At 35.5% G+C, this 16,390-nt stretch overlaps 1 long non-coding RNA gene across 1 annotated transcript in view; it reads right to left on the reverse strand.

The window, feature by feature from the left end:
* Positions 1 to 208: 208 nt before the first annotated feature.
* Positions 209 to 16,390, reverse strand: part of LINC02516 (long intergenic non-protein coding RNA 2516) — a 58,493-nt gene continuing 42,311 nt past the window's right edge. Inside the window, exons 8-9 of the long non-coding RNA NR_110838.1 lie at positions 4,517 to 4,677; positions 209 to 1,261 (exon numbers count right to left, since the gene is read on the reverse strand). This is a non-coding gene — a long non-coding RNA (long intergenic non-protein coding RNA 2516). The remainder of the gene's footprint in view (positions 1,262 to 4,516; positions 4,678 to 16,390) is intronic.

Consider the following 16,390-nt stretch of genomic DNA (forward strand, 5'->3'; position numbering starts at 1 on the left):
TGATAAGAATTTACACAGAAAAAAACCGAGATCATCAAAATTCAGATGGATGAATGCATGCATTAACATGAGCTCTTAAAGACAAAATTCTTCTGATTTTTCAATTAGTGCTTTTACTCAGAATTAAACCTATTGTGAGAATAAACATCATACTCCTACAACTCCATTCACATTATGATGCATGAATGATCGAGCCGGAGAAAGGCATGGTAACTTTGCATTTTATTAAAGAGCAAAAGTTCTTGCTGGTTTAATCTAAACTGTTATTTAACTGAAGGGAATCAGCAATTTTCTTCATGTCTCCCTACTGAGAACCAGAAAACACAACAATTGAAAGTTAAGAAATAGCAAAATCTGCATCATCTCCCAAATCAGTTGAAAAACTGCCACATGCAACTGACAAGTTTATTCCTTATCAAGGGCAAGAAGAACTCTCGAGGCATCTGACGGCCAGAAAGTGGACAGGAGCAGTGACAGCACCCCTTGGTAAGATGGTTGTTGCAGTGAAGGTGACTGGACAGGGAGTGTGAGTTAGAGAAGTCCTTGGGGCCCTGTCATTATGACTGTGCACTCTAGTCACCTCTGAAGAAGGACTAATGGAGACTTCCAGTATTAAACCTGAGGTATATACACAGTGCTGTTCCAGACCAGAAGTCAGCAAGTATTTTCTGTTCAGAGCCAGGTAATAAATGTTTTAGGCTTTTCAACTCATATGGTCTCTATCGTGATGGTCAATCTCTGCCACAGACAATACAGAAATGAATGAACGTGGTTGTGTTCCAACAACATTTTCTTTAGAAAAGCAGATGGCAGAACAGATTTAGCCCAGTTTGACAATGCCTGTTCTAGACTGTTCTGTATGGAAGGAGTTTCATAGTGCTACTGATGAAGTTTCTCAGAATTTCCTCCATGTAACATAAAGAACAGAACAAGGGAAGTCTACATAAATAAATACTTGTACTAAAGACAGCATGGATGAATACAGAGATCAGAAATTAGAGACACAGAGAGTTACAGGACCTAAGTCATTTCCAAATTATTGAGCAGAGAATAAGAATACTCTGTAATGATTAGTAAGGTCTTTAAAGCAAGAAACCACCATCTTAGGTCACATGTAACAACAAATTAGCATGCATAGAGGACTCTTTATATTATCCCTTACCCATCCCCTCAATGTCATTGATTGAAGTTTATCATTAGTTTCGATTCAGAATGATTAAGAGGCAGGAAAGGACATTCTCCAACACTCATTGTTCATTGTCTGTAACATATAATGAAATATAGGTCTTATTAGAGAGTTTCTATTTAGTTATTCCCATTTTGCTATTTTTTTTAAATGCTGAGTTTCAGAAGCCCTTCATGTGTTGTTAAACACACCCATGAATAAGGCATATCCTACCCACCTAATACAAGCAAGATTTCAAAGCCCCAGATTGCCTGAAGGGAACAAGTTCTTTTAAATTGTTCACTAATGTTTCACTTTCCTCCTCATAGAGCTCATATTCATGGCTCACTACCATAACTACTTTCATGGAAACATCTTTGCTAATCCCTCTTTCTTATGTACTCACTCCGGAAAACACTATAGCAATTCAATCCAATAATTTGCTGATTCTACAACTGCACATATTAAATAGCAGGACATGGCTAGAGAAACTTTTACATTTCAATTCTACTTCCTTCAAATTTAAAACCAAAATCTCAAATAAGCCCTTAAATCTTGAGACAGGTTGCCCACGTAGTAATCTCACTCTTTTACTCCCCAAAACAATTTTTTCTATGTGCACCTAAAAATATCCAGCATGTCTCCCACCTTCACTAACAAGTGGTGACCTTATTATATACATAAAAAGAGGCAACCGTATGACAACTGCTTTATCTTTTCACCATAACCCCTCCCTACCTAGGTCTGTGGCCACAGAGCTAATTTATCCTCTCTCCTGTTAGGAGCAAAAAAATAGTTCCTTCTATCTAATCAACACCACCACTTGTGACCTAGATCAAGCCTCCTCTAGCCTTTTCAAGGACTTTGATCCTTCAGTTTTCTCATTATACTGCATCAGCATTTTTTCTTTCTCTTTTATGTCTTTTCCATTACATCAACTTGCCTTATTATCACCCAACTTAACCTTCCCTATACTCTATTAAGATGCAATTTCCCACAGCAAAACTCATCAAAAGGTTGTCTATAGCATCCTCACCTTCTATCAACATCTAGCCCAATGTCTAATCCTTAGTGAATACGTGTTATTTATCAAATAAATAACAAATAACACCCCTCCTCTAGGGTTCACAGCATAATATAGTATCTCATACACATCTTCATTACAGTATTTATTACTATCTATTATTAGAGATTTCCTTCTGAGTTATGAGCTCATAGAAAAGCAAGTGGTATATGCTTCACCTTTGTGTTCTAGAACCTAGTCCAAGACCTGACACATGTTGGGCTATTGATACATGCTAAAGGAGGGAAAGAAGGAATGGAGAAAGGAAGGAAAGAAGGGGCTTATAATATATTGCTATTAGGTAAAATATGCACTACAAATGTTTTTTCACCATACAAAATATAAGAGAAATGCAGCTAGAAACAAATAGGGAGTGACTACTTTGAAACTACTACCTGGTCCAGTGTGATGATGATGTATAAAGGATTAATAGAAAACTGATAGATTAGGAAATCATATCAAAACCCAACAATATAGAAATCTATATACAAGGTTGGACCCAAAGCTTAGGCAATACCTATAAGGAGATAGTCCTGTGAACAAATACAAACTTCAAAGTGATATGTAAGCATGCAAGCAGCCTTTTAAAAAATCTCTGTGCATACATTAATTCTGCTCTGCTTCCAGTACAATGCATGGATTACCATAGAAGCAGCTGCAATTTTATGAGCAAAAGGCCCAGGAATTAGGCATAATACAAGCATGAAAACTTACCAATCCACATTTCCTTGTAATGGAAGAAATTTGATAGGTTTAATTTAACACATGAGCAATATTATTTTCTAAAAGTGACCACAGTATTTGAATAATATTTTTTGGTGGGTGTTATATGGTTGTTATTTCTGTATGATTGCATTTACAATTAAGTATTCTCTCCCATCCTGCTTTTCTTCCTCTTTCTCCTCCTCCATTTTTCTAACATATCAATATGGTGAAGTTAAGCAGAGTTTTGAGTTCCCATGTTATGATTATGCAAAGCTCCGTCACGTACCTTATGTGACAAATACCTGCTGAAACTCAAAAGATGCATGACTTTCCAGGATTTAGCCATGGGATGGCTTTCCTTGAAAGAATTTTCTGGGCCATATAAAGAAGATCAGGGAAAAGAGAAAAGGGAAAGGGAAACACCTCCGGCTAAGCTACTGGAACTTTCACTCAACCTAGCATCTGTGATGACAAGCAGGGATTTTAGCAAAGCTACCGGTGTTTGAATCCTGGCTTTAGAATTTTTTTATGACCTTGGTCAAGTTATTTAATTTCTTTTGTTCTCTATTTTCTCATCAGTAAAATAAGAATAATAAATAATAGGGTCTATTTTGTAGACATGTTATTAGGATTAAATGATCGAATATTACCAAGTGCTTAGGACAGTACCTAACAAGTGGTATGCGGCACTTCAGTGTTGGTGAAATGTAACAGATATTTCTAAGCAGCACAAAGTGGTAGACTATTATAAATATTATCCCTGTTAGGCAACAAGTGGACAAGAAAATAAGTGACTCATACAAGATCGTGCCCAGATTAGGATCATTTATGAATAATAAATATTGCTATATCCCCAGGTGCTACAATAATACCTGTTAGGTGGTCTATGGATGTTTGTTGTTCTAAAGCAAGTAAATGATGCTAATAAAAAAAGTAAACAAAAAGTAAAAATGGATATTTGTTGCGTGAATGAGCATGATCCTAGGACTTAGATTAGGACTACGCTGTCACTATCCCGTCTGAGGCCAGAATTATAATCATTTGGATAAAATAATTGAAGTGGGATTGCATCTAAGAGCAAAGTCCTACAGATGGATGTTAGGACGAGGTAATTGGAACTTGTGGTAGGTGCCTGTGTCTCAGGGGATACCTGACAAACCAGACAGGCCCAGAACAAGAAACAGATGGGATCAAAGCTGGAAACCAGTCAGAACAAAATGAAGTCCGGATGAGTTGTGATCGGTAACAGACATAAAATAGCACAGTCTCAGCATTTATAGGGACCAAAAAGTTATCAAAGAGTGTGTTTTTCCTTGTTCCTAAGATCATGTCTACATATCCAAAAACGTGGATGTGCCTTCCTGATTCAATTCTTTCTACAGAGGGGAACAATGCCCTCCCAGTGCAATAGAATTTATTTTTGGATAATTTTAATCAGTAGATTGTTCTTTAATATGTTAAACCCTAGCTCCATATATTTCATTAACCAATTTTTCCTAGGTCTGCCCTCTAAAGCTTCATAATATAGCAGATAACTTCTATGCAATTATTTTTCACATATATGAAACCACAAATATAGCTACCTTATTTCCTAGGAATCTTCTGTCCTCTAAGGAAATTATTTCCAGTTTCTTTCACGGTTCTTTATGTAACATGGCTTTTTTGCAGTCCCTTTACATTTCCCATCTCTGTCTTCTGGATAGTTGGTAATGTCCCTAGCAAAATGTGGAGTCCAGAACTGAAACTATTAAAAAGGATAAAACTAAGCAGTAGTGTCAAAAATGTCAGGGGTTATTATCTCCATATACATGGACCATCTATATGTATTAACGAAAACTATTTGCATTAGATCAAGGCCAACACAACTTTTCATAAACGGCCAGATGGTAAATATTTTTTGCTTTTTGGTCCTCAAATTCCTCTTGCAATATGCAGTTCTGTTGTAGCATGACAGCAGACTTAGGCATGCTGTAAATGAGTAAGTACAGTTATGTTTCAATACCATTTCATTTATCAACAGATGGTGGGATTTAATTTGCTAACTCCTGTATAAAAGCACTCATATCCTTTCCATCAACTAAAGTTTCTAGGCTTTCTTCATATCATGTTTCTAAGCTATAGACCTCCAATGTTTACTTGAAAAGGACCATGTCTACCCTTATTAAAATTTTATAATTAGACTTAGCCTGTACATCTAACATGCTATGATATTTTTGAATCTGATTTTATTAGTCGTTATACATAAAAGCGCCTCTTTTCTACCTCATGCCATCTGCATATTGGCAAATATATCCTTTCTTAATTCTAATGCAAACTATTGACAAAAATGTCAAATGGGACAGGGCCAAGAAAAGAACCTTTGCCTCCAAACTCCAAGTTAACAGAAATCCATTAATAGGCGTCCTTTGGATGGCCTTTAACCAGCTAGTATGGATTAATTTTACCACCTAGCCTACATTTTCGCATCATATTCATAATAGTGAGAAACTGTCAAATATCTCAATGGAGGGCAAAAGCAGTATCTATATTACTTTTCCAATATTATGAATTATTACCTCAACAAAAATATCTAAACTGAAATCTTTCTGTGAAACCTAGTATGAAGTTTCTCAGTATTCTGAGGCTGTAAGTTTTTCAGTTTTCCCTATCCACTTAAGACAAAACAAGTACAATGTTTGAACTTTTAAGAAGTCAAATTGCAGCTTACACAATGAAGAGGTTTCTAAAAGGTATGTGCAATTGGAATGAATTGTGTCACCAGGAAGTGTGGTTTCCAGTCATTGAATGACAAAATTTAAGGATACAAGAGCAATTCTTGTATTAAATAAATAGCAGAATAGATAACAAGACTGTGCCTATCTCTGAGAGTCTATGAATCGAAAAGTTTGTTCTGCCAAATAATCATCAAGGGCTTAGCAGAGAAACAGCCCTTGTCTTCCCGCTGATATCTTTTAGCTGGAAGGGAGGTAAAATACACAGCAAATAGCTATAGCACATATCTCACTTTCATTATCAATCCCTTGTTATCTGCTGCTCCTGAGATTGTACCAGCAATGGCTCCAAAAGACAGGATATAGAATGAGATTGAATTTCAGAAAGCCTAAAAGTCATGAAATATTTATTTTTACACAGGAAAAGGGGAATTGGAATGATTCTTATTTGAGATCTAGTCATTTAAGTTATGCCCGTAGCCTCAGCAGGATCAGCCCACAAAGGACTTCAGGTACGCCACCCCTCTACTTTGTTTGGTATATTTCCCTAGTCATAATTTGTATCAAGAATAGTGCAGTATTTTAATTAATAGCACTATTGCCTGCATTGTCTGTAACATTTTGAGGTAAGAGGGTGGACTGAGGCAAAACCTTCATTAAACTTTAAAAGGTTGGCTTATGATTATGTGTAAGAATCAAACTTAGATAATTACTTCTCAAAGCCATTTTCATCAAAATCTATTCATTGGGTGTTAATTGCTTTTTCTAAATACAAAAGAAACACAAAAATACAATCACTATTTAAACCTTGAAATTACGATAACATTCAAAGGCAGTATAGTAACTTGATTAAAATGCAATCATGAATATAGTTTTATCAGAATTTCTAAATAAAAAATCCCTGCTTGATTGCCTAATGTTTTTGAATTCACGTGGTGTGCCAGACATTTGGCAGCATATGCTTGATCACATTATTTCTACTATCCATGAAAAATCCTGGTATACATTTCCTGGTGAGTAGAATGCTATTTACTTTTTTTCTTTAGTATTTCCTTCTTCTCCCATCAGAAGCGTTTACATCAAGGCCCTTCAGTATTGCCACAGATCAGAGAAGTCATAACCACGAAGTTCATTCACGGAGTTTGGGGTTATGAAGCTTGTTATAATAACAATCACGGAGTGTGGAACAAGGAAGAAACCAAAGTAGAGTGAGGGCGCGGTATAGCTTCTCTCCTGATTTTGCCATATTTTTGCCAGTAAGTCACAATTCCTTTTTGAGAATGACAAACTGCATTTTGTGAGCATTTTTTTTATTCTGCCTATTCAGAATATCATTCTACTTCGGGAAAACTGTTTTTCCCTATCTGTTATCATGTGGACAGGTGGAGGTTTCCAGACACAGTTCCACTCCTACTTTTATCTGACCACTCAGCTGGAACAATCAAAGGACTGCTCACTCTCACCCTAGTAATTGTATAGAACATGGGTAGATCATCCAGGTTTTGCCAATTGAATTTATCCCAGGACTTTCTGAATTAGAAGCTAGTTCTTCAAAAACAGACTGGAGGTTAGAACTGGAAGCCATGAATTATACTGAGTAGAGAAGGGTATGAGTTAAGATGCTCTTGGTTACAGTTCAAAGGAAAAACTAAACTCGAATTCTTGTACATGTAAGTGGCAGATAAGAGGTGACATTAGTGGGGATGGCAGAATGAAAACCTCAAATATCCTCTGCTCATTAAAAGCAACAAGAACACCACCACCACTTTTAAAAAAATCAACATTTTCAGAACTGTGGGAATTAACCAAAGACTTGCAACAATCGGAGGAGTGTTATTCAATAAAAATTTCTGAATTTCAGTGACAACAGTGAGCCTGTGGCAATTTAACTTGTCCCATTCCCATCCCTTAGTTCTGCAATAGCCTTAGTTCTCTCCTTAGTTCTGCAATAGCCTTGAAAACCAACAGCCTGCAATCATGGTGAAACCAGCAGCCTAGCAGTCACTGATGAGAGTACAGGGCTAGAGCTTTTTCAAAGTCCCGTTCTCAGATAACCATCACCCCCTGACCTATCTAGAAATTCCTTGGAAAATCCAACTCCAAAGCTTGCGTTTATTGGACCTGAATCAAAGCTCACTCAGCTCTGATCTTTTTCCTGGGGGCATTTTAAAATAATCAGCAGCAGTTGTTTAACACTGCAGTTGCCTGATATGGCAATAACAACTGGGGCAAACAACATGTGATTAAAGAACTTAAACAAAAAGCCTAGGAGTTAAGATATCTAAAGGGAAATTTGAAAAGCTACAACAAATTCTTGGGAATCTAGGAGGCTATCTGCATGCAATGGTCTATGTGCATGTCAAGGACTATGTGTATACCCCGAAATTATAAAGAAGGCTCTAAGCACTCACCTCTGGCTGACCTTGAGCCTCTGCATGAGCAGGAAATGAAGGGAAAGGCAGAGATGCAAACTGCCTGCTGCCGCACTGATGCCATGCCCCCAACATGCATACAAGGCCACTCAGAAAATGGGAGACTTAAAGAATCTCTGTCCACTCATTAACTGGCCATTAAACTCAACATGCAGAGACTTTAGAGCTCACAGACAATAAAGAATAAAGGCTTTTTTACAGGTACTTAGGCATGAGGTGGGAAGGAGAGGGCTCTCCCCCCACCCACCACTAGAAATGTTAGGTGACAGTTTGGCAACTATCACATTGCCTTTCTAAAAGTGATAACTTGGCAGCTGGCACTAGGGAGAGGCCATTTCCTGATGGTCCACACCTATTGCACGACTGTTTTAACTGAATGCAGATGCCAGAGAGAAGCAACTTCCTGGGGATATACATTAAGAGACAAGACGGCGGAGTACGAACTTCCGGGAGCACTCCATTAGAAAAGGGAAGAAAACCTCAGATGGGCATGCGTACAACTTCCTAAACACACCCCATGTGCCCACTTCCCGAGGGTCAAGAGGGCACTGTGCATGCAGGCAGCCCACCCTAAGTGAAGAATCATGAGGAAGAGGCCAGCCTATAAAGTCCTAAGAACAAGGTTAAACACCACCCTTGATCTTAGTGCTCACTTGGGGCTCTTCTAAGCGTACTTTCCTTTCCTTTCCTTTCCTTTCTTTTCTGTTCTAAAGCCTTTTAAATAAACTACCACTCCTGCTCTGAAACTTGCCTGTCTCTTTTTCTGCCTTATGCCCTTCAGTTGAATTCTTTCTTCTGAGGAGGCAAGAACTAAGATTGCTGCAGACCCATATGGATTCGCGGCCAGTAACAGCTTCAAATGGTTAGTGCAGGAAAGCCATTAAACAAACATAATAACAATAAGTAGCAACAACAAAACACACTGATAGGAGAGAATCTAATTTCCAAAGTTGCCACACTGTATTATTTCAAATGTCTAGTTTTGAAATAAAAGTTATGTGACATGCAAGGAAATAAATAGTAAAAATAAGCGAGTCAACAGAAACAGTACCTGAGGAAACCACGATGTTGTACCTACTAAAAATATTTTAAATCATCTATTTTAAACATGCTTAGTAAATTAAAGAAAACCACGTCTTAAGAACTAAAAGAAAATATAAGAACAATGTCTTAGCAAATTGAAATATCAACAAATAACTGCAAATAAAAACAAATAAATGCTTTTTGATATTATCATGGATTTTGCATCTATATTAATAAGGGATATACTTCTCTGGTTTTCTTATTACGTCTTTTTTATTATTATTTTCACCTCTTTACTTTTTTGAGATCTATTTCAATTTTCTATTTTATCTTGAGTTTTGGTAGTTTGTATGTTTCCAGGATACCATTTCATCTAGGTTATCAAATACATTCACATATAATTGTTCATAGTATTCCCTTTATAATCCTTTTAGTGATCAAAAAACATCCCATAGAGTGAAACTCAGGACCAGAAGGCTTCACTGACGATTCTATTAAACATTTAAAGAAAAATCAATACCAAATCCTTCACAAACTCATCCAAAAAACTAGAAGAGAAGGGAACATTTTCCAACACAATCTATGAGGCCGGTATTACTCTGATATAAAAACTCATAGCACCAACATTACAAGAAAGAAAACTGCAGACTTATCCTTCTTATGAATATAGATGCAAAATCTGTGATAAAATATTAACAATCTGAATTCAGCAACATATATAAAGGATTATCCACCATAGCCCAATGGGATTTATCCCTGGAATGCAAAAATTACTTAAAATACAAAAATATATTAATGCAGTATACTATATTAATATAATAAAGCACATTAATATAATAAAACACAAAACCCAAATGATTATCTCAATAGACATAGAAGAAAAGCATTAGAAAATAATCAACATCCTTTCATAAAAAGGAAATACTCAAAAAAGTTGAAATATGAAGCTCAACTCAATGAAGAATATTTATTAAAAGTCCACAGCTAACACCCTACTTAATTGTAAAAGACTGAAAGCCTTTTCCCTAAAATCAGGCACAATACAAGGATCTCTGCTCCCATCACTTCTAGTGAACATTTTTGGAGGTTCTATCCAGGACAAACAGGCAAAAAAGAAGAAATGAAAGGTATCAAGATTGGAAAGGAAGATGTAAAATTAACTCTATTTATAGATGATCTGAGATACAAAAAAACTTACGGAATCCATCGTCATAATAATAAAAACTACTAGAGCCAATAATGAATTTAGACAGTAGAAGATTGTCTAAATGAAATCAATGAAAATCAATTTTATTTATATATTACAATGAATAATCCAAAGATAAAATTTTGAAAAATTATTTACAGTAGCATCTAAAATAGTAAAATATTTAGGAATCATTTAACAAAAGTGGTAGAAAACTTGGACACTGAAAGCTACAATAGTCATTGTAAGAAATTAAAGAAGAGCAATATAAATGGAAATACGTTCCATCATTATGAATTAGAAGAATTAATATTGTTAAGATAGCTGTATTAACAAAATTTTCCTACAGATTCAATGCAATCTCAATCAAAACCCCAGATAACTTACAGAAATTGATGAGCGGTTCCTGAAATTTAGATGAAAATGCAAGAATAGCCCAAACAATCTTAAAAACAGAGAACAAAATTTGAGAAATCACATTTTCCAAAATTAGTACAATTTCCAAACTTACCACAAAGCCATGAAAATTATGTAGTACTGGCATAAGGACAGATACATAGATAAATGAAAGGGAATTGAGAGTTCAAGATAATCTCTTACCTTTATAGGTAAGTCATTTCGGACAAAGGTACAAAGAAATCAAATGGGAAAAGAAATATCTTTCAACAAATGGTGCTGGAACAACTGGATATCCACAAGATAAAGAATAAAATTGGGTCCATACCAAATAGCATATATAAAAATTAACTCAAAATGGATTACAAACATAAATATAAAAGGTGAACCTATAAAACCCACAGAAAAAATAGATATAAATCTTGGTAACCTTTAATTAGGCCTTGATTTCTTAGATATGACACCAAAAGCACAAATAGTAAAAGAAAAAATAGATAAATTGGGTTTTATCAAAATTGAAAGCTTTTTTCCTTCAAGGAACACTATAAAGAAGGTCAAATATAATATATAGAATGGAGGAAAATATTTGCAAACCATCTTTCTGATAAGGGACTAGTCTCCATACTATATAAAATATTCCTACAACTCAGTAACAAAAAGTAGCCCAATAAAATGGGGACAAAGGACAAGAACAGACATTTCTCCAAAGAGATATGCAGTAACTAACAAGCACATGAAAAAAGCTCAACATTAGTAGCCACAGAAAAATGCCGATCAAAACCACAATGAAGTATCACTTCAAACTCATTAGGATAGCTAGAATAAAATGGATGGTAAACAACAGATGCCGGTGAGATTATGAAGAAATTAGAAACTTCATACATTGCTGGTGGGAATGTAAAACAGTGCAGTGGCTTGGAAAATATTCTGGCAGTTATTTAACAAGTTAAACAAACATAGAAGTTACTATATGATCTAACAATTTCACCCTTTCTTATATACTCCTCAAAATGAAAACATATGTCCACTCAGACACGTGTATACAAATTTTCATAGCAATTCATAAAAATGTTATTCATCATTGGCAAAAAGTAGAAACAACTGAAAAGAAACAATGAAAAAAAACTCTCATAAACTGATGAATAAAAGTATGGATAGTGGATAAGCAAAAGTGGTACATCCATACACTGGAACTATTACTTAGCCATAAAAAGGAATGAAGTATTGCTGCATGCTGCAACATGAATGATCATGGAAATATTATGTTAAGTTAAAAAAAAAACCAGACACAGACACAAAAATATATTGGACGATTCCATTTGTATGGAAAACCATAGTAGCTACATCTATAGACACAGAAAGTAGATTAGTAATTTTCAGGGGTTGAGAAAAATGGAAGGGAATGGAAAATGAGTGCTAATGTGTGAAAAGTTTCTTTGAGGGATGATGAAATGTCCTGAAATTAGATCATAGTAATGGTTGTACAGTTCTGTGAATATACTACAAAGCACTGAAGTATACACTTTATGAGGGTGAATTTTATGCTATGTGAATTTTATCTTAATAGAAAAAGAAAAACAGTGATATAGAAAAGGCCAATGTCACAGTAGGCTAGTGGCACAATCTAAGGCTCCCTTTGTTGGCAAATGTATGACTTTGATTTCTGATGTCAGGGATAGAGTTAACATCTCCAGAACCATACAGGTTTTCTAGCAAATCTGGAAGAAGGTGGCATGCATACTGGTGAAGTTACAAACAAGTGTCCACTATACCCTGAAAGGCTGAAGAGTACAGCTAGACACAGAACGGGACATAGAGAGGGAATCTGAGACTTAGACTGGGTTGCATTCTTTTTTGTGGTTTAGTTATCACCGCCAATAATGTCTTCCTTTTTCCACTTAAGCTTTTGGGTTGGGTTTCTGTCATTTGCAAGCAAAAATCTGGAATAATACCTGTATTTAAAGAAAAACAGCTCTCAAAATGGCTTAAACTAGTATAACACTGAAAATAGGAGTATATTGTATAGTGATGAGTGAAAGCGAAGATATGAGAGTGTTGTATTTCAATAGCATTGGCCAGAAAGTTATTAATGGATAATTTAAGCTCAAATCCTTAATATAATGATTCTGAAGCTAGAGAAAAAATCTTGATAGTATCAAAGCTCAAAATGTTCAGGAAGAATATTACTGTGAATTATCAAGCCTGGTTGTTATGAGCAACCTGTGCTTGACTAATCTCTGTGTTTTAATGCAGTGAACAAGCTTTTATAGTAATGCTACTGAATTATTTTCTAGGCTACAGAATAAAGTAGTCCAAACAGGTTTTTATTTCCTTCCATATAAAACATGGCTTATATTCAGCTTTTTGAGAAACAAAAATTTATTTTCCACCTAGTATTGCTTTCTTTTACTAAATAACTCAAATTAGTACAATTTTAATTTTTTTAATTTTGCTAATAATAAAATCAGCCTAAAGAAATTGTGCCAGAAATTTATACTGTATCTCCTCCAGCAATATACTTACTTACAGGGCCATGGTTATCAAATTCATTATTCATCTTTTAGTATCTATTAAAATGTGTTTTGGGAGTGAAATTAAATTATTTACTCATAGAATAATTCATTTTTATGCTACATAGGTATAATTAATTTTAAAGAATAAAATAATTGGATTGAATTGTATGCCTCTAGCCTCTAAAGGAAATCCAAAATATCTTAAATTAGTCTGATTAATCTTTCAGTAATAAATGAAAAATTAATATATAGGTATATAACAACTTCCTACCTGTAAACAAATAAAGAACAAGTAAAATGCAAGAGGTGAATGAATTATCTTACTTAACAAATAAAAGTGCACATGATACACAATTACTGACCTAACTCTAAATGATATCAAAAATAAACACTCATTGATAAATGAATAAATTCTTAGATACAGACAGATACATAAATAACAAAGGCAGATCTGTAGATAATGAAAATTTTAGTGACCTATGGAAATTCTTTGTTGTTGTTGTTGTTGTTGTTGTTGTTGTTTTTGAGACAGAGTCTTGCTCTGTTGCCCAAGCTGGAGTGCAGTGGTGGAATCTCAGCTCACTTCAACCTCTGCCTGGCAGTTTCAAGCAATTCTCCTTCCTCATCCTCTTGAGTAGCTGGGATTACAGGCACTGCCACTGTGCCCAGGTAATTTTTGTATTTTCAGTAGACATGGGGTTTCACCATGTTGGCCGGGCTTGTCTCAAACTCCTGACCTCAAGTGATCCTCCTGCCTTGGCCTCCCAAAGTGCTGAGATTACAGGCGTGAGCCACTGCGCCCAGCTGGAAATTCTTTAAAATAGGATTGTTGTCCAAAAATATTTGGATAAACTGGAGATCCAAATCTATTTTCACTAGAAGATATGTATGTGAGTGTATGAGAGAGAAACAGAGACAGAGAGAGGGAGAGTTAGAGGAAGAGAGAAGAAAAATAGCTCTATGGGATGGAAAGTACAAGGCTTCTTGTTGGTAGCAGGGAATTCCTGACAATAACTATCTGACAATAGCTGGAAGGCTAAAAGTACAAAAAAAAAATCCTTTACTTTTTATAGGCAGAATAAACTGCAATTTGAAATAAATGGATTATTTTCTTAAAAAAAAAAAAAACTGAACCCTTGTTTCCAGAAGTAAACACAGAAAATATAATAATTTATCCAAATACATGTAGCAATTGCTTACTATATGCCACATAAAATATGTTACTGGTGTCTTGGAAGTTTTTTCCCTATTTAGTGGGACATACTGAATCTATGAGTATTGACTGTTTCATACTGATTATTTAGCCTTTGGCCAATTTTGTGAAATCAACAAATTGATAAAACAGTCTTCTGGTTAGTTGGATTCAGTGTTTTAACACGCAATTTAGAATATTCCTATATAGTGGATTTTTTTTTGCTCTAGAAATGGGTTTAGTTGATTTATTTTTTGTATTTTGGCCCCACAATAAGCCTGCTCACTCAAGGATCTTCAACAGTTAAGCTGTCTCTGTGTAACAAGCCCATGGTAGGCCTGATGCAGCAGTAAGAAATAAATGTGTCTACAGCATAAAAGTGTTGTCTTCCGTATTGATAGGAAGACAGCTGAGTGTCAATGTGGCCTCCGCCCAAGCCTACTGGATGAAACAGCCCCATTTCTTGGCTGCTATCACTGAACAGGATTCTCAATACCTACAGGATACTTTGACTCCTGAATTGTGGGAGTGTCTCTGAGAAACATAGGGTGTCTTTACAGAGCTGTTTCCAGTCAATTATTTTATTCTCAATTCTTGTGACCTTTGCACTACTTGTTGGCTATTTGGGTGGTAAACTGAAATGAAACACCACGGATGCCAGTCAGAATTAACATTCTTGCCAGTCTTCAAATCCAGTCCAGCATTTTGTGGTCTAACTCAGCTCATTTGCTATTCCACGAAGTAAGTAAGATTGGTTAAAATATTTTTGTACTCCCACTGCTTGTGTCAGTGAAATTCAAATAAACAATCACAGGTTACATTAAGGATAATAACTATATAAGTCTAAATATATTTTGATGGAACAAATGATATAAGTATAAGATATATAGGGAAAAGAAGATGCGTAGCTAAGAAATCTTTAGTATGCTAGATCCATCTACTAGTGAAAAACAATCCTTTAGCCCTAATATCAACAACATGAATTGATGTACAACAAAATAAATAAGGTCACCGTTGTCTCAAATATATCCTTGTAATTTAGTAAGCATGAAAATATAAATAGAAACGTTAGCTCCCCCAGATTACCAACCACCTACTGCCTAGGTACCCATATCCTCAAAGTGCCAAAGTAAACCACAAAAATCAGAAGCATCCTCCTGGTGGATAAATTTTATTGAAATATTTCATAACAAGTTGCTATATATTAACTTTTCTATAACATCAAATATTTTCTCATCAAAATCAGCATAGGTATATGTGGAGTAGAAGATGAAATTTATTTGAATTTTACAAATTAAAAAAATGCCAAAGAAATGCTAGACATTCAGAGAGCAGTCTCCCTGTTTCACAATATTCACTCCTTTCCTTATGACATGAGAAATACATTAATGAAAATATTTGAGAAGCATTAATACATGATTTTAAAAGTCACCATTATGAAGGTAATTAGTAAATGCTTTTAATACTAATTAGAGTGACTAGAGAAAAATGCATCTAGTAGTCTACATTTACATTATACATTAAAAGCTGTCAGTGCCCCCACCCGGGGGCCCTTTACTTAGACAGTCAGCATCCTGCCTAGCTCCTATAAGTATTGGCTGCTAATAGCTCACAGCTGCCCTCTATAGTGGAGAATTGCTTTCAGCCAATGAAAGCCATCTTACTTGGAATGTCACAGCAGCCCCCAGACAATGGTTGACTGATAAGGAAGGACTTTCAGATTCCAGGACTGTCCCTGGGTCAGGCCCAAAGCTAAAGGCTGAAGCTGGACTCCAACTGAGACCAAATCCATGCTTAACTTTTTCCATGTAAAAATAGAAGCCAGAGCATGCTTCCATCACTCCTTTTCTCCCAAGAGGGCTCTCCCAATAAATAACTTGCACCAGAATGGCTAAGCACGTTCTGCTTCTAGAGAACCAGGTATAGGCATCATATTTATGTCTGTCTCCACACCTGATCTACCACTAATCTTATGAAATGCTTAAAATCTTTGTAGTTTGTCCT

Source organism: Homo sapiens, chromosome 4, assembly GCF_000001405.40.
Source record: "Homo sapiens chromosome 4, GRCh38.p14 Primary Assembly".
Classification (NCBI taxonomy): Eukaryota; Metazoa; Chordata; class Mammalia; order Primates; family Hominidae; genus Homo; species Homo sapiens.